This window comes from Homo sapiens, chromosome 4 (assembly GCF_000001405.40).
Source record: "Homo sapiens chromosome 4, GRCh38.p14 Primary Assembly".
NCBI classification, from domain to species: Eukaryota; Metazoa; Chordata; class Mammalia; order Primates; family Hominidae; genus Homo; species Homo sapiens.
In genome coordinates this window covers 26842568-26866554 of record NC_000004.12, presented here as the reverse complement: position 1 = coordinate 26866554, position 23987 = coordinate 26842568, and the positions used below count along the sequence as shown (strand labels likewise).

Here is a 23987-nt window from a genome sequence, read left to right as displayed (position 1 = left end):
GCATATGCCTCCTCCCAGAAAGCCTTTTCACTTATCTCCACAAGAAGTCCTACCTATACATCAAGGTCCAGCTCAAATCCTGCCCTCCTCCAGGTAATACTCTCTAACAGCCTCTTCCTTTCTCCTACACTTTGCAGTCCCTTGTGGTGCTAATCACAATCCATCGCATGTTGTTTGTATAAGGATGCATACAACATACCAGCTAAGAATCCAAGCTTTGGAACCAGAGAAACCCTGGTCAACCTCTAACTCTGCTACCTACTAGAAGTGAGCTTGGGCAAGTTACTTAAGATCATCCAGCATGTTTCCTAATCTACTATATGAAGATAAAGACAGCAACAATAGAAAACTGAGGACTACTTGTGGGGGAGGTAAGAGGAGGGGTAAGGGTTGAAAAACTATTGAACTATTGAGTACTATGCTCAGTACCTGGGTGACAAGATCGTTGGTAACTAAAATCTCAATATCATGCAATAAACCCAGGCAATGAACCTGCATATGAATCTAAAATAAAAGTTGGAATCTAAAATGAATCTAAAATAAAAGTTAGAAGGAAAAAAAAAAACAGTAGCTATCTAACAGGATTAGTCTCAGAATCAAAAACAGTGATGTATAATATAAAAAGCACTTAGCACAATACTAACACATAGGAACAGTTTAATAAATGTGCCTATTATTACCTAGTCTGAGTCCAAAATGGTCACACCTACATCTTATTCTTTTTTTTAATTCTTTCCCACTTCTCTTTTGTGTTATGCTGCTTGTACTTAATAATTATTTAGTTAATAAAATCTGATCAATTCAGAAGTAAATTCCTAGGTAGATCTTAACAAGGTGAAGTCCAAACTCCAGTAAATGTCAAAAAATGGCTTATTATCCATATTATTAGCAGTTAGTTTTAGTATTAGCTTAGCCAATATATACATTAACTATCATATTACATAAATGCAGACGTCCAACAATCATTGTGAAAGTGTTCACACCACAATTATCATCAATGATTAGGCCACTATCAAAAATCCTTGATATCATTACGCAAAAAGAGCCTAAATTAATCTGAAAATACTAGCATGTATCCAGCCACAAAGCAAGTCTTTGGCAAGCTAAATCATCCTGTGTCCTCCTTTTGCATAAAAGGAAGCTAAATCTTGGATCCACTTTTCTAACTGGCCCTCTGAATGCTTCCTGTTCTATGAGATTCCCAACAGAGGCCAGTTCTGCCATGTATTCTTAAGAGTACCAAGGGATGCAATGTTTCCAGACCAATTAGATTACTATCAATTCTTAAATGTTCAGAATCGACTAGATCAAATGGATATGAAGAGATTCTTTAATCCTGTAGTTAGCAACAATAATACAACTACAGCAATGACCAAAGACTGGTGAAGAAAAGCACTGGTAATGATACTAAAGGGGAAAGAGAAAGAGAATACAGTAAATGATGGCTTTAGGAAGTTCAGAAAGAACAACGTCATAAGAGGAACAAAGGTCTCTCAGGCTATCTGAATCCACTTTGAGTCTACGGTCACAATGGAAACATTAACATGTGTAAGTTATTTGTAAAATATTACTGAAAGCAACATATATATCCCACAGGCAAACCAACTACTAATAAAAATAAATAAGGAATACAACTGATTTCATTAAAAGTTCAGTTTCACATTTTGCCAATGACAATCATGCTAATTTGAGGTATTTCCATCTAAATTAATGAAAGCCCCACAACACAGATGTGTGTAACAGTACTGGGTAAAGTGGCCATTCTAAATGCTATTATATGTGGTATTATATGTTGAACTAAGAATATATTAAATCTTAATTGAGATTTTAATACTTCCAAGAAACATGTTTTTATATATGTTATTTCTAATAACATGCCAAATCAGTGAAATGGTATTACAGTTAAGATAAAACCTTCACATAGGCACTAAAGAATGTTACTTTAATTCATTCTTTAAAAGGATAGAGGCAAATATTTTCAGTTAAAATTTGTTCCCAAAAATTCTGAAACAATTCCGTAAGAAATAATGTAATGTTTCAATTATTCGGCATTTTTTTGTTTGTTTGTTTCCCTTTCATAAGCTATTTCTCAGGGACCCTATCTGGATGAGATCGGTCACTCCCTACCAGGATCAATTCATCAACTCTAAATCTGTTAGACAAAGAAGGAAAAAAAAAACTATTGTTTTGAGTTATTAAAGCACTGCTTTAGAATACAATCACCAAGCTCTCAGTCACCTATCCCTAACTTGCTTTAAATTTCAATCACTTTCAAAGTAAGTGCCCTAAATATATAAGCGCTGTATATGTAATTTAAAACCCTTACTATATAATGTTATGAATATTGGTTCTGTCTCACCAAAAACATTTGCACACTGAATTCTGAAAAGGTAATATTTAAAAAGGAAAAGAAAATATAAACCTGTATTCATTATGACAATGGGTCTGTTTATTTGGATGATTTGTATAGTTTTGAGCAATAACAGTTTATTTGAGCAAATAAACACAGGATAATTTAAAGGCAATTTACTCTTAAAGTACACTAAATCCCTAAAGTAAAACACTTGAGAGGCAAGCTGCAGTGAAAAAGAATGTTTTATACATTTTATTAGTCAAAGGCTAACTCTTAGGGAGCTTCTAAAGGTAAGTATTAAAAATGCCAATCTCGAGAAGAAAACAGAAAAGTGATTTTGGCTGTCATTTTGCAGAGCTATTGAGAATACTCACAGCTAAATCACAACTTTAATCAGGAGACAAAGAGACCAATTCTTCTCTCAGAATGCTTTCAAAAATTTTCAATTTTCAAAATTCACGTGACGTTTAGTTCTCTTATTACTGATGCTCTACTCCATCTCTATCCATTAACGCTGCCTACAATATGATACCACACCACAGTATTTTGTAAATTCAGTCTACGGTTTTACTTCCTGAAGTGTACACTAATGCTAATAAATTAGGTTCTAGGCTTTGCATAACATTTACAAATAGAACCATAAAAGAAAGCACTATTCATACACTCTTAAGAATGGGAAAGAGCCCTATAGAGGCCATATAGTTCAAAGAAATTTTCAATATTTTCTAACTTCATCATAGATTTTCAGTTTACCTTTACCAAGATATGGGTGCTATTGACTGTATTTACATAAACTTATTAAAATAACAATTTAATTTGTATATTGTGTAGTTTTATGATTTAAACTTTAAGTGGAAACGTTTAACTTGTTAAAAATCAATATTCTGACAAAAGGAAAGTAAAAGAACGTTAGAAATAATTCCAGGGTATTCTTCTAGCAAACTTATTTTAAAGCCCTATGGCACAAACTCATTTTGTGTGATACATCGGATTTTTTTCCAATAAGAATCACCTTTTTCCCCCATGCCTTAAATAAGTATAGAGAAATTTAAGTCTTAAAAGGGATTGTAAATGGCTTATTAAAATTCCATCTGACCAATTTTCTTGATGTGATCTACACAGTATAAAATATACTTATTAGCAGTCAATAAATACTAAATTTTCTGAATTGCTTGCCTTTTTACCAATTACTTTTTCACAGAGCATTAGCCAATTATGTATTAACCACATTTTTCTGCTCGAGAAACCTAGAACCACTTATACCTTCTAGAAGCCTAAATATTCCTGCTCCTTCCCTTCCTGCATGAGGCATTAAATCTTCAAATTATAGTCTTATTTATCAACTTTCCTAATAATCACTATTCTTCACTATACTGTTACTTGCCACATTTTTATTTGGAGAATAAATACTATTCAAGCATAAAGCTGTCTGACCTATCTTCTCACTCAAACTGTACTATGCTCCTAATACTGATTATTCTATAATCACTTTATCCCAGTTACCCAATTGGTAGGTTTGATGTATCAAGTTCCATTTAATAGGGCTTGATATGCTTCAGGGTAAAGTTAAACATGCTGACCATTATGTTCTATACTCTACATCCTCCAAAGCTTTTAAAGTTTACCAACATCCTTCTTCTCTCTAGAATAGTAAATATCCTATCATAGAAATCAGAGAAACTGCTTGGCTTTAAAGAATACAGTTCCTGAGCACTTGTCAGAGAAGCTGTTAGTAACTTCCAGACGCCCGCAGGACTATCATTTTGGTTAAATTAATCACGGGTCATCTTCTGCCACTTTAAACTTTTTAGTCTTACAATTATTGTAGGAAATCTACAGATCTACTTTAAAAATAAGTGAAATACTAAAAAAAAAAAAAAAAACCATTATTTTAGCTCCATTACTTTTCCCAAAGAAATCATTTCAGGGTCCTTATATAATAACTTTTACTTAAACCACAACTGATCAGTTGTACATAACACCGGAAGGCTTTAAAAAGGATACAATTCTGCACTTAACCTTACAAAACACGTTTCCAAGTTTTCAATTATGAGATCGTTCTATATATTAAAAAAAAGGTGCTAGTGCAGTCTATCAGAACTGTGCTGCCAGCTGCAAGCCCCGAGTATGCTGCACTTTGCAAATTTTAGGTATAATTTCTGGTTACCTGCTGAGGTTTCTACACCCTTTGTCACCCAGTGATGCTCCCACCACCAAACACTTTCCATCACCACTTAAAACGGCCTCCTTCCACCCCGCAAAAAATGCACTGTAAACTTAGGCATTTCTGCATACTAACACGGAACCACTAATATCACTAGGTATTATGGCTCTCAAAGAATCCCCTTTAGCAGGCTCCCCTGGGACGCTGTGCTCAAGCGGAGCTTTGAACCGGTGAGACTCGCTGCCAGCTGCCTTTGCAAAAGCAGCACCAGAGGTAGACTCAATACCGCAATGCTGCTGCTGACTTTTTCTAGCAGCCTCAAAAAAAAAAAAAAAAAAAAAATCAGCCCAGTCCCCTGCAGACCCTGCTGGCACTTCTGCAGCACGAAAGAGAAACCACCGCATTGCTCAGCTTGGAAGATCGGAGAGCCCGACTGAAGGGAGGGGAATCAGTGCCGTCGAGAGGCTCGGCGAGGGCGGGGTGTCGGGGTGAAAAGGAAAGACGTCCGGAGTGCAGGGGACCGCGACGAAGCAGCAGGCAGGGCTCCGCATCGCGCCCTGGCCGGAGCCGCGGAATAGCGGACGTCCGGCGGAGATGCTGACCTCTGCACGGGTTGGGGGTCCCATCGCTGCCGGCCGAGCCCCGCCCGCCGCCCCCCGGCCCCTCACCTGTCATGAGCGCCGGGCTATCGCCGGCCGCCGCGGCGGGAGAGGAGGCGGCAGTTGCGGCAGAGCCAGTCGCCCGCCGCCCGCGGAGGTGCCGGGGCACAAGCTCGCATCCGTCCGCCGCTCCGGCTACCAGCAGCCCGAGCACCAGCAACGCAGCCCAGCGCCGCCGCCGCAGCAGCCAGCCCCACGCTGGGCCAGGAGTCGAGGCGGGATGAAGGCGCCGAGGAGAAGCCGGGTGAAAGCGCAGCGGCGCCCCGGCCGCCTGCAGCTCGCCGGCTCCGCGAGGCGCCACCACCGCCGCCGGCGACTCCTCCGGCCGCCCCCGCCGCCTCAGACACGGGCTCCCGCCGGGCGCCAGCCTGGTCCCATCGGCACCGGCGGCCTCCGGAGCTCTGATCCCGGCTGCGTTCATTGGTTCCGGTTATTTAAAAAAAAAAAAAAAAAAGGTGGGGGGTAGAAAGGTACGGCGTCTTCAGGCGGTGCACGACACCCGCGCTGCTGCTGCGGCGAGACCGGGATCCGCTGCTCTGGCGCCGCCAAACACCAACCCCAGCTCCCGCGCCGCCGCCGCCGCGGCGCATCCCCCCGCCCCCTCCGGCCCGCGCTGGTCGTAGTACCACGCTCCGCCGGGACGCCTCCCTCCCCTCGCACATTCGCTCGCATACCAATCCCCCGCCTCCCTCAGGCTCTCCACGGCGCAGGCGCGGCGCTGCTGTACTGCGCGTGCGCGGCATCCCAGCCCCGCCCCGGAGGCGTTCCTAGACGGACGGTAGTACCGTGGGGCGGCTGATAACGCTTTAGCGAGCCGCGAAGATAGGAGGCGGGGAAGAAGGGGGACGTGTACCTCTCCCTCATTCACGGTACCACCGCGAGGGGGAGTGGGGGGCTACAAGGGGACGGAGAGAAGAGTCCAGACGTCCCACATCCTGAGGGCGAGTTTCAGCCTCGTAGAGGGCAGCGAAAGTAATTGCATGGATCAGGAAAATCTTGCAATCGGAAAACAGCAGCGTCCCCGTAATTTCAATATAGGTGGGGCTTACAAGTGGCTGGCTGTTTAGACGCGGTTAGCATAGCTTAGCGTTTTATTTACTTGCCAAACATTTCACAAAGCGCGTGCTATGTGTGAGTGTACCAGGCATTGCTCTAACCGTTTTACACATTTACATGCTATAACTCCAAAATTATCGTTACCCCCTTTTACGAATGAAGAGACTAAGACCTAGAAATGTGAAGTAAGTTGTCCCCAATATCCCACAGCTAATTCATGGGAAATGAGCGAGATTTAGCAGCCACTGAAAAGGCCTATTTAAGAGAATTTACTTTAGCCTCTGACTCTCCTAGGTACATTTACCTGAACTCATCACCTTCCCACCCCCATCCCATCGACTCTGTGCTGTATCCTGAACCGGCTGACAGAACAATGATGTAGACTTGACTTGTTTTCGCCAACCTGGAATGAAGCAAAGCTCTTGTGCACCCAAGATCTGCTCTCTGTTGTAAATCCTGTTCAGACCTGGTCTAATTGGTTTGAATAAATAAAGAACCGGAATCTTTCTCATCCAAACTAGTTGCCAGCATATTTTTAAGGCCACCTCCCTTCAAATTTAAAAGGAAGTGTTGAATGTACTGTCACTATAAATTAAAAGCCCTGGAAATTCACACGCAAGGAGGCATTCTTTCTCCCAGGGGCACAAAATTGTTTAAAATTTGCAGATAGGGTTATTAAACACGAAGATCCTTTTGCTATTGGGTTTTGTTGGTTTCATTCTGCTTATTGGTTTGTTTGCTTGCTTTCTCAAGCCAAGAAGATACTCAAATTACATTCTCCTAAAGTATTTCTTAGGTAGCCTGGCCAAGATAACCACAAATATCGTTTATTGTGGAAGGGCAGATGCACACTTTAGAAAAGAATCAAGGATGTCTTTGAGGCTAAGTCAATCTATCAACAGTTATTTCTCAGCAGACTTCTTGTGGGCATAGTGTTCAGGTGGCAATTCTTTATAGGGCAACCGGGAGATTATATTTCCCCTGCTGAAAGGCACAGCGATGAAGTCACACCAGAGTGCTGAGTGCCCACCAGAGAAGATAATTCTGCTAGGGGACCAGAACAATATAAATAACAAGCTTGTTCCTGCTCTCCAGGAGGCATTTCATTTATTAAATGTTTACTGAGTACCTAGTATGTGCCAGGCAGAGTACTGAGTGGTGAGGGTTAGGCAAGAGAGACACTTGAAAAAGGCAATTAAGTCAGCAGTCAGGGCTATGAGATAAACAGCACAGTCCCATGACTAAGGCATCTTACAATCTTTTTAAGGAGATAAAATGTACACCCATTAAACAATTAGAGGCTAATACAAAGTAGTAATCAGTTGCTAAATGGTGTAGTGCAAACTGTTACAGTAGTAACAGTATAAAACCACGAACAAATTAACAAATCACAGGGGCCAGGATTCTTTAAACAAAGATGATTTAGTATTTTTTTTTCTTCTTTTAAAGATAGGGAGGGTATTGACATTGAGAGTGTATTGGACTGGAGTTTTAAGTGTTTATTCCTCTCACTACTGGAACCGGAAAGGAACTAGGGATCCGGCAAGCACTCAAAAGACCAAGGCCAGGAAGGCCAGGGGCCAGGAATAAACCCTCCACCGCAGATCATCTTTGCCACAGATATAGAACTTTCCAGCTGTTAAATGAATAGCCGGAATGAACCTTGCTGAACAGAGAGAGGTACGTGTCACTGTGCATCACAGCATAAACCTAAGAACAGAAAGGAGAAAATCCATTCCTTGGCAAGAAAAGCCCAACCCTAGAATTATATATGCTTCTATTTGCAAGCCAAACATAAACACAAGACTCCAAATGAGGCAATCGCTTACCTTTCTCCCCAGGTTTCCTTTCCCACCTCCACGCTTTTGTTTTCCCTTTCCCTTCCCTTGTTCTCACCACCCCAAAGCTTTCTCTCCTTCCCTGTCGCCAAATCCCATTCAAAAGCTACCCTGAGGCCCTTTTCCTTGGCACTTACCCGACTCCTACAGCCAGCCTATACCTCTCAATGTCCAAACCTCATCATATGCCTTTTTTTTTTTTCAGAACGTCTTCACTGTCCCATTTTCACCAAATCATGACTTCAAACACCTGATGGGCAGCATTGAGCTCTAGAATCAGGCAAACCTGAAAGAAATAGCAATTCCACCACTTTTCAGCTGTGTTACGTGCAGACAGGTTAATCTGTCCTCAGTTTCCCCACTTTTAAATTGGGGATCCAACCATGCCCGCCCCACAAGGTTGTTAGCGGCGGCGGGAGAATAAACAGGGAAAGCCCTTGCGCGGAGCCCGGCACACAGGTGCGTTGCCATCCCTTGGGGAGAACTGGCTCTGGGCGTGCATTCTAAGCGTGTTCTTGGCTTAGGATAAACGCATCGCACTTTGCCCATGTTGTTTGATTGCATTTTCTTGCAAATCCCAAACTACTGGGCGCGCCCTGCACAGAGGCACAGCAGGATCCGTGCACCGGCTCCTCCCCATCCCAGAGGCAAGCCTGCCCTTCCCAAATGTCGGGCTCCCTATCTCCCTCTTCTCCCCTCGCTCCCGCACAGCCCACAGCGCGCCGCCAGCTCGGACTCGGAGAACCGGTTCCCGACTGGCGGGCGCGGCAGGGCGCCTGCGCCACCGCAGCCCCGCGCATGCCCGCTGCCTCCTGCCGGCTTCCCCCAGGTGCGCGAGTTCTCAAGCTGCTGGGTTCCGGGACGCCGCGCGCCGCTGCCCGCCCGGCTTCCGGCTCCCACTCTGTGGGCGGGGCGCCCGGCAGCCGCGAGATGGCGTCACCGCGTGGGCGGGCGCGGCGGGCTGTCAGTGGGGAGGGTGGTGGACGTGGGGCGGTAGTAGGGGTGGAGGTATAGAAGTGGGGAATTCCGGCGCCTCGCCCTCCCACTGATCTTCTCCTTCCCGTCTTTGACTTCCCTGCGTGGCCCTGGAATGTCGGGACAGACCCAGCAGGGTGGTCCAGCCTGGTTCGCTTGCTCTTGATGGTGAAGCCCCTCAGAGAGCTGCCTTCGGTGGAAACGCTGTTAGGTATCGAGTTTTCCCGCTGACTCTCGACAAACGCTAACAAGGGACTCGAGGTGCTGAGAACTTTGGAAACACCTCTAAAGTGATATAGACAATGTGATGGCTCCATTCGATCAATGAAGCCCTAGCATAAAAATGGGGTCCTCAAATTGTTTAATAAAGCACTAGGAATAGAAGTGACACCGTGGAAGTAACTCATTAGCAAGACCCTTCCTCCCTAAACCCAATAAAACATGAGATAGTCCTCAAGTGGTGTAGTGAAGGTGGAAAATTTTATTGCTGCTTTCTCTGGGAGCAGAGGAAGGAAGTCTTTTTAAGTGTCTTGCATCCAGGATAGGGAGTTAAAAACTCTAGATTTAACTAACATAGTTTTTTAAAAGCCGCTCAACAGAAGCGAGTTAACTTTGCCCGCTAAAGCCCGGTGCAATCAGAGGGCGTGTGGGGTGAGTCGTTTATATTATTAAATAGGATGTGTTTGCTCTATACTGCTTAATTTGAGGTGTTACATGAATATTATTGATCACATGATAACTGACAGATGCTGAAGCAGCAGGAATGTTGACATTTTCCACAAAAAGAGGACTAGAATTGTGATGGAGCTAAAGTAAAGATCATAACAATTGAAAATGGTGAGAAAATGATGGCTATTATCAAAAAGACAAATAAGTGTTGATGAGGATGTGGAGAAAAGGAAACCCTGGTATACTGTTAGTGGAAATGTAAATTAGTATACCCATTTTGGAAAGTAGTATGGAGGTTCCTAAAAAACTAGGAATAGAATTATCATATGATCCAGCAATCCCACTTCTGAGTATATATCCAAAGGAATGGAAATCAGTATGTCAATGAGATATCTGCACTCTCATGTTCATTTCAGCATTATTTACAATAGCCAAGATATGGAAGCAAACTAAATGTCCATCAACAGATGAATGGATAAGGAAAATAGGGTATATATACACACAGTGGAATACTATAGAGCCTTAAAAAAGAAGGAAATTCTTCATTCACTGCAACATGGGTGGAACTGGAGGACATTAGGCTAAGTGAAATAAGCCAGGCGTAGAAAAACAAACATTGTATGACCCCACATATGTGGAATCTAAAAAAAAGTTCATCTCATAGAAACAGTATAAAGGTGATTACCAGAGGCTGGTAAGTGTGAATGGGGCGAGGGATGGGGAAAGGGAAGATGCTGACCAAAGGGTATAAGGTTACTGTTAGACTGGAGGAATATGTTTGAGTGATCTATTGTACTTCACAATAACCACAGTTAATGTCTATTTCAAAATTGCTAAAAAGATAGATTTTTAACATTGTCACTACAAAAAAGGTTAAGTCAGTGAGATAATAGATATGTTAGCTCAGTTGAATTGTTCTACAATGTACATATAGCTCAAAACATTGTACTCCATAAATATACACAATATTTGTCAATTAAAAATTAATTTTAAAAACATTCATAATGTCTGTGAATTATGAGGCAGGAAGCTGCCAAGGGGTTCCCTACAGCACTTGAAGAGATTATCTAAAAAGGAATTACCTACTTTCAATCTTAAAGTATACAAAACACCTACTTTAGAAAAAGATGCCACAGAAACATATATCAGCAAGGAGAAGAAAAGTGGGCCTGTTTAAAAGCTTCAAAGGGCTGCCCACCTCCCTCTTCTTTGTGGAAAATCCATCCAGGGACTGGAAATTTCAACTCCTTAAGTTTGAATGTATAAAAAAAATGGCCATAAGTACACCCAAGTACACCCATCTGAAACGAAAACCCTTCGTAAGGTGAGGAACTCCGGTATTTTTGTTCCAGTAAAACCAGGTCCTTATGCTAATACCTAGATAGAGGGTTGTTGTAAAGTAAAAATGATTGTAAAGCTGCCTGGTGCATAGTTAGCTATTATTATTTAAACCCTTAAGGTATGAAAAACAAGAGCTCGTTTTGAGTTGAATTGTGCAAAAAAGGAAAGTAGAAAAAAAGAATACACGAACAATCTACAAGAGCACATACAACAAAGGTACGTACACAGAAGTCTTTACAGGGCCATATGCCTAAAGTGACAGTCAAAAGTTCTCTAGAAAATAGGACCCGATGCAAAGGCCCATATAACAGTTCCTTAGAGAGTAGGATTTCCTTCAACAATTCCTTCAACCCCAGTGAAGCAGAAGTAAGGGGAAGGGAGACATGAGCCACGCACAGAAGGAGGCAGAAAAATATCCAGGTGATGCACCACTGAGCTGGCTGCTCAGTCTCTCACGATGCCTCCATAGTGGAGACCACTCTGTTTTGGAACAGTGCGAGAAGAAGGGAGAAAAATGGAACTTTTGGCTCCCATCAGTCAAAGGTTTCTGCAGGAGATGCAAACTCGCCCGCACTTTTCAGTCATGCCACCTGCCGCTCCAGGCAGCTGCCAGAGAAGCCAGATCCCTGAACAGCAGTGGCATTATCCATGCATGAGCTAAGCCAGCAAGTGAATGGGTGCCACTGTCCACCTGCAGCCTGCAGTATCCCAGGAGCGTCTACCACCTCTGTAACAAAAGGGAAGCCCCAGAGGAAAAAAAAAAAAAAAAAAAAGGCTGGAGATTCAAGGCATTAACCAGGCATTATTAAAGTTGTGCCCTAAAGCAGCATGAGAGACCTGGAGCAAGGGGAACATCACATCTTGGCCCCTACCACCAAGGCAGCCACAGAGCTCAACAAGTCACGCTCCAAGGAAGATTGAAACATCCCTTCTGCAACCTGTAAGGATGCTGTTATGGTGTAAAGTTCCTGGATAGTAATAGTAGCATTCAACATAAAACTATTACCAAGTAAATCCAGGGAGGCACATAAGCTGGGTTCAAATTTATGATAATGGCAAAGACATAGGAGAGCCAAGGCATTGTGAACTAAGAGAAGCCGTTTGTGTTCATACATCAAATATTGAATGCATTTTAGGGTCGGGTACTATATTAGGTGCTAAGATCAAAAATTAGTAAGATAATTTCTAGTCCAGAATCCAAGGAGCTCACAGCCATACAATAGCACCAAACAGATATGTATTTCTTTTATTTATTTATGCTTTGTTAATTGTTTAAAAATATCTGTCACCATGAAATTCTGGTTCCACAGTCTCTGGTATAGTTAAATCATTTTAAGGAAATAGTTTATTTCAAGATGTTCTTGCCTCAAAATTTAATGTCAAGTGAAGAAATGATCTCATATTTCACATAGTGTAGCTGCCAGGAGATGGTAAAATCAGGCGTTTGTCTTGACGTGTTTATATTTACACAAAGGTGTTTCAGAATGTGTTTGCAATGAGGAAGAAGAATAAGTAAAAGAGAGTTTGAGGACAAGCCTTCTGATATGGAAACGAAGGAAAACAGAAAGTCTGGAAATGTGGATGTTTGAATTACGGATGAGCACATTCCCAGAGCATTATTGTAAATACGAAAGAAAGAAGATCAGATTTTAAAAGTTGTTTCTTGGCCAGGCGCGGTGGCTCACGCCTGTAATTCCAGCACTTTGGGAGGCTGAGCTGGACAGATCATGAGGTCAGGAGTTCGAGCCCAGCCTGACCAACATGGTGAAACTCCATCTCTACTAAAATACAAAAATTAGCCAGGCATGGTGGTGCACACCTGTAATACCAGCTACTGAGGAGGCTGAGCCAGGAGAACGGCTTGAACCTGGGAGGCAGAGATTGCAGTGAGCCGAGACCGCACCACTGCACTCCAGCCTGGGCGACGGAGCGAGACTCTGTCTCAAAAACAAACAAAAAAAAAAAGTTGTTTCTCTAACTGGGACAAAGTAGTGCTATTTAGCCAAATTTATTGGGCCCGCTACTATGTGACAATAAGAAAAGAAAATGTCTGCTTTGATGGAATTTTATATTCTAATTGGGAAGCTGAAAATATGGGAGATGAAAAAGTAAAATATGTTGTATATTAGATAATGATAAGTGCTAAGTGGGTGGGGAGCTGGAAGGGGGGAGATAACTTTTGACCTGAACAAAATGAGAGAATTGTACAGATGTCTGGGGAGAGAGGATTTCAGCCCACAGAAAAGTTTTGGGGAAAGGATGTATGTGGTTTGTTCACAAATACCAGTGAGATCGATCTAGCTAGAGTATCTGACAGAGAAAATAGTGGATAATGAAAGAAAAGTGATAGGGGCCAGAACATGCAGGGCTCTTACAGCTTTTTCCTCTGAATGAGTTTGGAAACACTGAAAGGTTTTGAGTAGAATCATGGCATCTGACATATGTGTTTACAGGATCGCTCTGGTTGCTTCATGGTAGGAGCGGGGACGCCATTGCGGAGGCTGCTGCACAGTCCAGACAAGAGATGATGTAGTTTAGGCCAGAATAGTGGCAGAAGTGATGGTTAAAAGTGGTAGAATCCGGCCGGGTGCAGTGGCTCACGCCTGTAATCCTAGCACTTTGGGAGGCCGAAGCAGGTGGATCATGAGGTCAGGAGATCGAGACCATCCTGGCTAACGCGGTGAAACCCCGTCTCTACTAAAAATACAAAAAATTAGCTGGGCATGGTGGCAGGCGCCTGTAATCCCAGCTACTCGGGAGGCTGAGGCAGGAGAATGGTGTGAACCCGGGAGGCAGAGGTTGCAGTGAGCCAAGATCGCACCACTGCACTCCAGCCTGGGTGACAGAGTGAGACTCCATCTCAAAAAACAAAAGGGGCGGGGGTGGACTTCTTGGTAAATTCTGAAGGTAGAATCAACAGGATTGATATTTATTTATTTATTTAAGACAGGGTCTCGCCCTGTCACCCAGGCTGGAGTACAGTGGCACAATCACAGCTCACTGCAGCCTTGACTTCTCGGGCTCAATGGATCCTCCCATCTTAGCCTCCTAAGTAGCTGAGACCACAGGCATGTACTACCACACCCAGCTAATTTTTGTATTTTTTTTGTAGAGATAGGAGTTGTGTCATGTTGCCTAGGCTGGTCTCGAACTCCTGAGCTCAACTAATCCTCCCGCCTTGGTCTCCCAAAGTGCTGGGATTATAGGTGTGAGCCACCACACCCAGCCTCAACAGGATTTATAGACCAACCGAATACATCGTGTGAGAGGAGAAAGTCAAGGATAACAACGAAATGTTTACCTTAAGCAACTGGAAGAATGGAGTTGCCATCAACCAAGATGTGGAAGACTGTGAGAAGAGCAAGTGATGGCAGAAGGACAGTAGAAACTCAGTTTTGCATACGTTCACTTTGAGATGCCTAATAGGCATCCAGGTGGAAACATCAGTAAGTAATTGGATAGAGGCCAGGAATTCAGAGGAAAAGCCCAAGCTGGAGATTTAGATTTAGGAGTCACCAGCATATGGACAACATTTAAAGCAATTAAATTGTTTACATTTTCCCCAGACATACCCTTTCTGTCTCATCCTCCATGCACTAAGTAAATAAAAGAACTTGATAGCTGAGCGTGGTGGCACACGCCTGTAGTCCCAGCTATTGGGAGGCTGAGGCAGGAGAATCATTTGAACCTGGGAGGCGGAGGTTGCAGTAAGCCAAGATCGTACCATTGCACTCCAGCCTGGGCAACAGAGTGATACTCCATCTCAAACAAAAAATAAAAAAAGAACTCGTACTTCTCACAGCAAGGTACACATTTATAGACATCACTACTCATAGAAATACTGTAGTACAAAATAAATATTTAAATAGAAAATAAGGTTTAGTTTAATAGCCAAAAAGTAAGTTTATGAAGGGGAATTCAGTAGCTTGAGTTTACATCCTTTGCACCCTCCACCTGAAGTTTGAGGTGTTAAGGAGATCATTTCACAGTAATAGAAAAAGTCTCTGGAACTGTTCAACCCTGGAATCAGTCCACTCTCCTTGCTATTAAGAAAGGAATTACATGTCTGTATTAGTTTGCTAGGGTTGTGTATTAGAGTTCTCCACAGAGATAGAACCAATAGGATGGATGGATAGATGATAGATAGATAGATAGATAGATAGATAGATAGATAGATAGATAGATAGATAGATAGGGTATTTATTAGGGGAATTGGCTCATGCCATTATGGAGGCTGCGAAATCCCATGACAGGCCCTCTGCAACCTGAAGACCCAGGAAAGCTGATAGTGTGGCTCAGTCCACATCTGAAAGCCTCAGAACAAGAGAAGTCAATGGCGTAACTCAATCTGAGGCCAAAGGCCTGCAAACTTGGATTGAGGGGTGCTAGTGCCAGTCCCAGAGTCTAAAGGCTGGGAAACCTGAAGTTGTGATGTCCAAGGGCAGCAGAAGAAGGGTGTCCCAGCTCTAGAAGAGAAAGAAACAGAATTTGCCCTTTCCTTCCCTTTTTGTTTCATCCAGGCCCCTAAGCAATTGGATGGTGCCTGCTCACATTGAGGGTGGATCTTTCCCACTCAGTCCACCAACTCACATACCAGTCTCCTCCAGAAACACCCTCTCAGACAAGCCCAGAAACAATGCCTTGCCAGCTATCTAGGTGTCCCTTAGTTCAATCAAGCCAACACCTAAAATTAACCATCACAGGCTGCATAAAAGTACCACAGACTGGGCGGCTTAACCAACAGAAATTTTTTGTCTCACAGTTCTGCAGCTACAACTCCAAATCCAGATGTCAGCAGAATTGGTTCCTTCTGAGGACTGTGAGCAAGGGATCTGTCCAGGCCTCTCTCCTGGGCTTGTAGATGAACATCTCCCTACATCATCTTCCTGCATGTCTGTCTCTAAATTTCCCCTTTTTCTTTTTCTTTCTTCTTCTTCTTTTTTTTTTTTTTTTTTTTTTGAGACAGGGTCTCGCTCAAGCTGCAGTGCAGTGGCACGATCATGGCTCACTGCAGCCTCAACCCCTCTTGGTTCAGGCAGTCCTCCCACCTCAGCCTCCCAAGTAGCCGGGACTACAGGCGTGTGCCACCAAGCCTGGCTAATTTTTCTATTTTTTGTGGAGATGAGGTTTCACCATGTTTCCCAGGCTGTCTGGAGCTCCTGGGCTCAAGCGATCCACCTGCCTCAGCCTCCCAAAGTGCTGGGATTATAGGTGTGAGTCACCGCGCCGGGCCCAAATTTCCCCATTTTATTAATATAAGGACACTAGCCATACTGAATTAGGACCCACCCTAATGACCTCATTTTAAGTTGATTACCCCTCTGTAAATAAACTATCTCCAAATATAGTCACACTCTGGGGTACGGGGAATTGGGACTTCAACATATGAATTTGGGAGGGGGCACAATACAACCCACAAAATGCCTAAGTAAAGCAATAAACCTAAATCTCAAGACTGTCTTGAGGTTTAAATGAGATACTTACAGTATCTGATCCTGTACCTGGCATATAGCAGCCAATCAAATGGTAGAGTGGCAGAGAATATGATTTAACCGCCAATAGTAATCTAAGTACAATCCCTAAAAAAACTTTCTACGTAAGTTGGCTATAAAAAATAATGAAAATGTTACTTTCTCTTAGAGCCAACCAAATGTTGCAGGTGTAAGTATGTTTGGGTGACCCTAAAACCTGAGAAATGGATTTAGGATTTAAAGTTGGCATAATATGGATTTAGTGGTTCACCCAACAACAAGAGGATCTTCATTTATCTGTGTGATAATTTGAAATGAAAGCTCTTTCATTTGCAAAGGGCATTAATCTTTCATCATATATGTATCAAGTGACTACTAATGCCAGTCACTTGCTGGGCGTCTGAGATTAAAGAGACAGATCACTTACTCCCAAGATATGTTCCATCTAATGATGGAGACAGATTAACAAGTATTTACAGTAAAAATGTGATAATCAGGGTAAAAATAGAATGCTACATAACCACAGTCCAACTGGGGCACTAGGGAAGATTTCTTAGAGGAAATAACAGTTGAGATGACTTTGAAGGTCAAGAAGGTATTACCAAATTAAAGGCTAACCAGAAAAAGAAGAAGGAAAGATATCCTAATCAGAAGTAATATCTGAACCTTTTTAAATACATAAAGTGAAACTTTCTTACAGAAGAGTAAATATGCAGTCTTTGAAGAACAGCCATATTGTGTTCAACATTTTCATGTGAATAATTAGATAATAGATCTTTCTTGGCATTATGAGGCCCGTGTGTGTGTGTGTGTGTGTGTGTGTGTGTTTGTGTGTGTGTGTATCATTTATTTTGACACAAAGTCTTGCTCTGTCATCCAGGCTGGAGTGCAGTGGCACAGTCTCAGCTCACTGCAGCCTCAACCTCCTGGGCTCAAGTAATCCTCCCACCTCCTCAGCCTCCTGAGTAGCCAGGACTACAGGCATGCAACATGATGGCCCAGCTAATTTTTGTTTATTTTTTGTGGAGACAGGGTCTCAAACTCCGGGACCCAAGCAATCTACCTACCTCAGCCTCCCAAAGTGCTGGTATTACAGGTGTGAGACACCACACCCAGCCACTGTTTGTGTATTTTAATACTGAACCACTTGGAAAGCACCTAGTACACCATATTATCTGAAAGATGTAAGCCTAAAAGCCTATTTCTATATAATAAGCAATGTGATTAGACAGATGAAAGAAAGCTACATTAATGTGTACAAACAGGAGAAGAAATGGGTGGGACAGGAGCTTTGGAAAAGCTAGCAGCTTACTGTTATAAAGTGTAGAAAGAAGTAACAACAGCAAAAGAGCTTCTGAGAATTTGATAAATGGCATTTATTTTTTGGCTGCCAGGGAGCTCAAAGCTAACTTTGCTGTAAAATTTTAATAACCATGTAGAAACTTAAACCTATGTAACAGTTTACTCTTTTGTCTCAGTGTTCATTCCTGTTCTATGAAAATGGTGGTTCTACAGATACAAGTGAAGAATAAAAAAGAAGAATCTATTGAATTTGGGTTATGTTTAGTTGCACATGTCCTTAGTACATGCAGGAGCAAAAGTGCAGTAAGCATTTAAATGTAATACAGAGAGACAGAGATTTAGTGTAAGAAATTGGCTACATGATTATGAAAGCTAAAACCCATAGTCTGTAGTTGACAAGCTGGAGACCCAGGAGAGCCAGTTGTATGGCTTAGTCTGAGGGCAGAAGAAAACTGATGTCTCTGCTCAAGTAGCCATGCAGAGAGGGAGTGAATCTTCTTTTCCTCACCGTTTCATTCTATTCAGACCCTGGACAGATTGGGTGATGCCCAGCCATATTTGGGAGAGCAGTCTTTAATCAGTCTACCAATTCCAATGCTAATGTTTAACCAAATATCTGGGCACCTTGTGGCCCAGTCATATTAAAATTAACCACCATATCACAGTATCTTAATGACTACCAAATCCGTTACTGCAGCTGAGAGCTGGACTCATACTGATAGTGGATACTGATAGTTCCACTTGGATGCATAATTAGCATCTCAAATTCACATGCTCAAAAACCATGCTCCTGATATTTTCCCCAAAACCTACTTCTCCTGATAGTCCCCATCTTAGTCAATGACTGCTCTGTCCTTCTTCACGTTTACCAAATCCTGTTGACTCTATCAATGAAATAGAAAAGTCATCTGATCTTTTCTTACCACCTTACAGGTACCACTCTGGTACAAGCAAACATCAACTCTTGCCTGGGTTATTGCGATTTTCTCTTAAATGCTTTCCCTGTTTTGCCTGTGCCCTCCAGTGTCTATTTCTGATGCATCTGCAAGAGGTCATGTTCTCTCTTTAAAACCCTTAAACAGCTTGGAGTAAAAGCAATAATGATCAACAGGCCCCTGCATGATCTGGCCCCAGATACCTTTCTGACCTCATTTCCTATTGCTCTCCTTCCCGTTCAGTCTGCTGGAGCCATTTAGTCTCATCACCGGTCCTAGAACAAACCAGGCACAACCTTTCCTCAGGGACTTTGCATTTGCTTTTCCTTCTGCCTAGAACGTTCTTTGAACAGATACTCACAATAGTTACTTTCTCATCTTTCTCCTTCAGCTCTTTGCACAGATGTCCCTTCTCAGTGGAGCCTTGTCTGACAACTCACTTTAAAATTGTAACCCTCACATCCACCCACAGATGCTTCTTAACTTCCATGCCTGCATTGGCCTTCTCCATAGCCCTTATCACTACCTAAAATAGTATAGATTGCTTGAGCTTATAATATTGTCCGTCTCTCCCATGAGAATGTGAGTTCCATCAAGGTAGGCATTTTATCCCCTGAGGCTAGAAGAGTGTGTGGTAGCATAGGCATTCAGTTACTATTTGGTGGATATTAAACAAATCAATGACTGAACACATAGATTCAAAACCCAAGTAGGAGTTTCTGCCAAAAAAAGGGGGATGTCATTCACATATGGGTGTATGGGTGGAAGCTGGAATTGTGATCAAGTGGCAGGTTACTGAGTAGAGAGAATGTACAAAAAGAAGATTAAAGGGTTGAAATCCATCTTAGGAGCAGGCAGAGAAAGTTAGAATGAAGGAGCCTGAAAATCAGTAAAAAGAGTGTAGAAGGAGAACCAGGAGAGAGTGAGCAAAAAGAAGGTAGACATACTCTCAATAAGAGTGGTTGGCAGTGTCCAGTGTAGCAGAAAGGTTAAGACTAGCACTAAAAAGTATTCATAGATATTGCTTAGTTTTTAAGAAAATAAATAAATAAATGGAGATCATCTTACACCATATATCCAACTCCAGATGGGTAAAGTGTTGAATGCAAAAATTTGATAAAGAAATATAATCTTGATGGGAAATAATTTTCTAAGCTTAAAATAAATTATATAATTTACAAACTGATAAATTTGACTCCATTAAAATGAAAAACATTATCCATATCAAAAAGAAGCTCAAAATGAAAATGGTAAAATAAACTGTAAAAATATGTGCAATCCATTTGACAATGGGAGAATTTTTTAGATTTGAAAAAGCTCTTACAATAAGAAAAATCTTAAGATTCTGATGCCTAAAAAGGTAAAAATGTAAACAAACATTCCACAAAAGTATAAATACAAGTAGTTGAAAAATGATCTACTTGACTAATGAAGTGCCAATTAAGACAATAAGTTTTTTCTCCTATTAACAAGGTTTAAAAATATAATTATGGCATATGAACTGAAACAGAATTACTTATATTCTATCAGTAAAACTGAATGTGTACAATCCATTTTACACAGCCATTAAAAAATATAAGATATTCACAATAGCCAAAAGGTAGAAACCACTCAAATGTCCATCAACAGTTAAATGGATAAATGAAATGTGGTGTAGATTTAGATATATACACGATGTCATATTATTCAGTCTTAAAAAGGAATACAATTCTGATACATGCTACAACATGTATGAACCTTGAGAACATTATGTTAAGTGAAAAAAGCCAAACACAAAAGGATAAATATTATATGATTCCACTTATAGGAGTGATATGGTTTGGCTGTGTCCCCACCTAAATCTCATCTTAAATTGTACCTCCCATAATTCCCACATGTTATGGGAGAGACTTGGTGGGAGATAATTGAATCATGGGGGCAGTTTCCCCCATACTGTTCTCATGGTAGTAAATAAGTCTCATAAGATCTGATGGTTTTATAAGGAGAAATCCTTTTCACTTGGTCCTCATTCTCCTCTTGCCTGCCACCATATAAGATGTGCCTTTGCTGCTCCTTCACCTTCTGCCATGATTGTGAGGCTTCCCCAGCCATGGGGGACTGTGAGTCCATTAAACCTCTTTTTCTTTATAAATTACCCAGTCTCAGGTATGTCTTTAGTAGCAGCATGAGAAAAGACTAATACAATGAGATACCTAGAATAGTCAAATTTCTAGAGAAAGAAAGTAGAGTAGTGGTTGCCAAGGTCAGGGGAGGAGGGAATGGGAAGTTACTGTTAACAGAAGTTCAGTTTGGGATGATGAAAAAGTTCTGGAGATGGATAATAGTGATAGTTGCCAAACATTGTGAATGTATCTAATGCCACTAAATTGTACACTTAAAAATAGTTTAAATTGTCAATATTATATTATTTATTTTATATTTTACCACAATAAGGAAAGTCTTGAAAAAACATAGAAGTTTACAATAACCCAGTAATTACACTTTTTGAAATGACTCTTGTAGAAATAGACCAAAATTTAAGTAAAGATGTTTATCAGAAAGTTATTTATAATTGCAAAACAACTCTCAGAAGCAATATAATGGTAAAATAAATGATGGCACATTCCCACTAACCTGGCAGCCCCAGGACATCAGGGACCTTGGCTGTTCTTGTTCTCTATCTCATCTCCACCACCTTCCTGTACTTGACACGTAGAAGATAATTGTTGATTTCATTAATATGGTGAAACACTATGTATGAGAATATTTATACAGGATTTTAATGATAGGAAAATGGTCTGTTATAATAAGTGAAAAAAACAGGATAAGACTTGTATATATAATTTAATTTCAACTATACAAAACAGAGGTTCTTGGTATGTGAAATAATGAATTCCCTCATTGTTTCAGCCAATCTGAACTGTGGTTTATAACACCTGAAAACATCCCAAGGGATCCTTCCACCCACACAAGAACTTTACTCATAAAGAGTTCCTCATGCTTTCTCATAGGTTATTAAGGAGAAAAGCGGAAAGTAGAAAAAAATAGTGGTACCATTAATAAAAGTTAGCTGACAGCAAAGGAAAAAACAGGAAAATATTTAAATAAAACACAAAAAAAGCAACTGTATCCCCATAAAACACAGCTGGCTGCAGCCATTTAGCATAGGATCGCAGTTTTACAGACTTGAATAACTTCTTCAGCTATTCTTACAATAATGGATATTTGTAATAATGATCCTGAGTCACTAATACAAATGTCCAGTTTGTGCAATATATTTTGTTTGAGAAGACAGAGCATTCTATAACACAGTTTAGAAGGATTTTCATTACAATGCTTTAAATATTTCAAAGTTTTGGGACTTATGAAATTAAATTCTTCTGGAAATCCACTTAGCTAGAACTTCTCATTTTCCCGATAATATTCAAGAGAAATGAAAAGCTATTTTATTTGACGATCTAAAATTCTTGTATTTATGTTGGAGGTTGGGTTTTCCTAAAACCTGGAGTACATAACAGGTCACCTAGGATGGGGCAGAGGGCTGATTTAAAATGCAGTTTTCTCAACTCGTCCCCTAAAGATTCTAATTTAGTGGGTCTGGGATGACGTTGAAGTACTGGCACTTCTAACAGACACTTCAGATGTTTTAGCCTAGACCTGAAATAATGGAATCAAGATATGAAGACTTAATTTAGGAATTGCTGGAGAGTTACCTGCTTTATTTTAAGGTTATATAGTTTGGATGTCCCCTCCAAATCCCATGTTAAAATATTTTCCCCAGTGTTGGAGGTGGACATGGTAGGAGGTGTTTGGATCGTGGGGCCGGGTCCCTCATGAAAGGCTTGGTGCCATCCCCTTGGTGATGTGTGAGTTCACACGAGATCTGGTTGTTTGAGAGTGTGTGGCACTTCCACACTCTCTTTCTCTTGCTCCCTCTCTTGCCCTGTGACAGGCCTGTTCCTGCTTCACCTTCTGTCATGGGTAAAAGCTCTCCAAGGCCTCCCCAGAAGCTGAGCAGGTGCTGGTGCCCTGCTTGTACAGCCTGCAGAATCATGATTCAATTAAACCTCTTTTCTTTGTAAATTACCTGGTCTAGGGTACACCTTTATAGCAACACAAATAACTGCTTGACACAAAGGTAGTTGAGGATCGTATCTGTCTTGACTTTACCAAGATTATATGATTCTGTTTTTAACTGGAAGGAACTCTTGCTCTGCTATTAATAAAGTTTAAAATTTAGTTTGGGTTAACAACTTTATCTCGGATGTCATATTTACTGTTGATAAAATTGTAATATAGTATATGCCGTTAATGGTCTCCGATGTCAATGCTACATTTTACCAGATGTCTTCATGGTCAGCACTATCTCTTCTTTCTCTATTTGAGATGTTGAATCCCAACCTCTGATACCTAGATGAAGGATGGGTTATCTGTAAGACACTGGGAAAAGCATTATGTGAATATAGAAGAGTCGTAATGAAATGTATTATGTGACTGAAAAGTTTGGGGAGACATAGATTTACTTGGATGTGACATTGATATGTATGGACCTTAACCAAACAAGCATGAAGCTTTAAAAAGTGTCATGTGAACACGTTCCAAAAAATTTTTAATACAGGAATTATTTTGCAACTCATTAATTTCAGTTATGTTTTATGTTTCTGGCAGTGGAAGAATTGTTGTTCCTGATTCTTCTCCTTCCCCTTTTCTTCTCCATGACAAGCCTGTGCTCAGAAATAACTTCTAGTCACCCAGATAGCTGTAGAAACGTATCATGCATGCTGCCTGAAAGACCTGTTCATTCTTAAAACCACAGATCATATATTACCTCCTCCAAGAGCCTTTTCCTAATTGCCCAGGAAGACTTAATTCTTCCTTTTTCTGTGAAAGAACAGAGAAAAATGAAAATGTTTCTACGATTTCATTCATCCATTCAACAATTTAGCAACTACTCTGTTACAAATGTGTGTCGAGATGATATTTCATTAAGAAAACATGGAAATAGGCCAGGCACTGTGGCTCACGCCTATAATCCTAATCCCAGCATTTGGGGAGGCTGAGGCAGGCAAATTGCTTGAGCCCAGGAGTTCAAGACCAGCCGGGGGCAACATGGTGAAACCCCATCTTTACAAAAAAATAAGAGAAAGAAAGGAAAGAAGAAAGAAAAAGAAAGAAAGAAAGAAAGAAAGAAAGAAAGAAAGAAAGAAAGAAAGAAAGAAAGAAAGAAAGGGAGGGAGGAAGGAAA

General features: G+C 41.4%; 2 protein-coding genes and 1 long non-coding RNA gene across 7 annotated transcripts in view, besides 6 other annotated features; 1 reads left to right on the top strand and 2 right to left on the bottom strand.

The window, feature by feature from the left end:
- The window catches only part of STIM2 (stromal interaction molecule 2), a 164541-nt gene extending 158827 nt beyond the window's left edge, over positions 1-5714 (bottom strand). For all 3 annotated transcript variants that reach the window (NM_001169118.2, NM_001169117.2, NM_020860.4), the window contains exon 1: positions 5186-5714. In NM_001169118.2, the coding sequence (NP_001162589.1) occupies positions 5186-5336 (151 nt within the window). In that variant the 5' untranslated portion in view covers positions 5337-5714. The remainder of the gene's footprint in view (positions 1-5185) is intronic.
- Positions 5018-5587: a silencer, noted in NCBI's record as "silent region_15341". NCBI's record gives its function as "represses an Ori minimal core promoter by ATAC-STARR-seq in GM12878 lymphoblastoid cells {active_cell/tissue: GM12878}" and the evidence as "EXISTENCE:reporter gene assay evidence [ECO:0000049][PMID:35858748]".
- Positions 5598-5967: a silencer, noted in NCBI's record as "silent region_15340". NCBI's record gives its function as "represses an Ori minimal core promoter by ATAC-STARR-seq in GM12878 lymphoblastoid cells {active_cell/tissue: GM12878}" and the evidence as "EXISTENCE:reporter gene assay evidence [ECO:0000049][PMID:35858748]".
- STIM2-AS1 (STIM2 antisense RNA 1) lies at positions 5956-6931 on the top strand. Of its 3 annotated transcripts, none has more exons than NR_134674.1 (2): positions 5956-6045; positions 6527-6931. It is a non-coding gene; the product is annotated as an STIM2 antisense RNA 1 (long non-coding RNA). The 3 variants fall into 3 exon arrangements; NR_134673.1 differs by having other exon boundaries at positions 5956-6214; NR_134675.1 differs by lacking the exon at positions 5956-6045 and adding an exon at positions 6311-6417.
- Positions 6058-6157: an enhancer, noted in NCBI's record as "active region_21401". NCBI's record gives its function as "activates an Ori minimal core promoter by ATAC-STARR-seq in GM12878 lymphoblastoid cells {active_cell/tissue: GM12878}" and the evidence as "EXISTENCE:reporter gene assay evidence [ECO:0000049][PMID:35858748]".
- Positions 6932-7635: 704 nt separating the features above from the next.
- Positions 7636-23987, bottom strand: part of TBC1D19 (TBC1 domain family member 19) — a 282243-nt gene continuing 265891 nt past the window's right edge. The window contains exons 21-22 of the transcript XR_007057937.1: positions 21377-21493; positions 7636-8356 (exon numbers count right to left, since the gene is read on the bottom strand). The gene's annotated coding sequence lies outside the window, so the exon portion shown is untranslated. The remainder of the gene's footprint in view (positions 8357-21376; positions 21494-23987) is intronic.
- Positions 8758-8807: a silencer, noted in NCBI's record as "silent region_15339". NCBI's record gives its function as "represses an Ori minimal core promoter by ATAC-STARR-seq in GM12878 lymphoblastoid cells {active_cell/tissue: GM12878}" and the evidence as "EXISTENCE:reporter gene assay evidence [ECO:0000049][PMID:35858748]".
- Positions 8828-9117: a silencer, noted in NCBI's record as "silent region_15338". NCBI's record gives its function as "represses an Ori minimal core promoter by ATAC-STARR-seq in GM12878 lymphoblastoid cells {active_cell/tissue: GM12878}" and the evidence as "EXISTENCE:reporter gene assay evidence [ECO:0000049][PMID:35858748]".
- Positions 9238-9337: an enhancer, noted in NCBI's record as "active region_21400". NCBI's record gives its function as "activates an Ori minimal core promoter by ATAC-STARR-seq in GM12878 lymphoblastoid cells {active_cell/tissue: GM12878}" and the evidence as "EXISTENCE:reporter gene assay evidence [ECO:0000049][PMID:35858748]".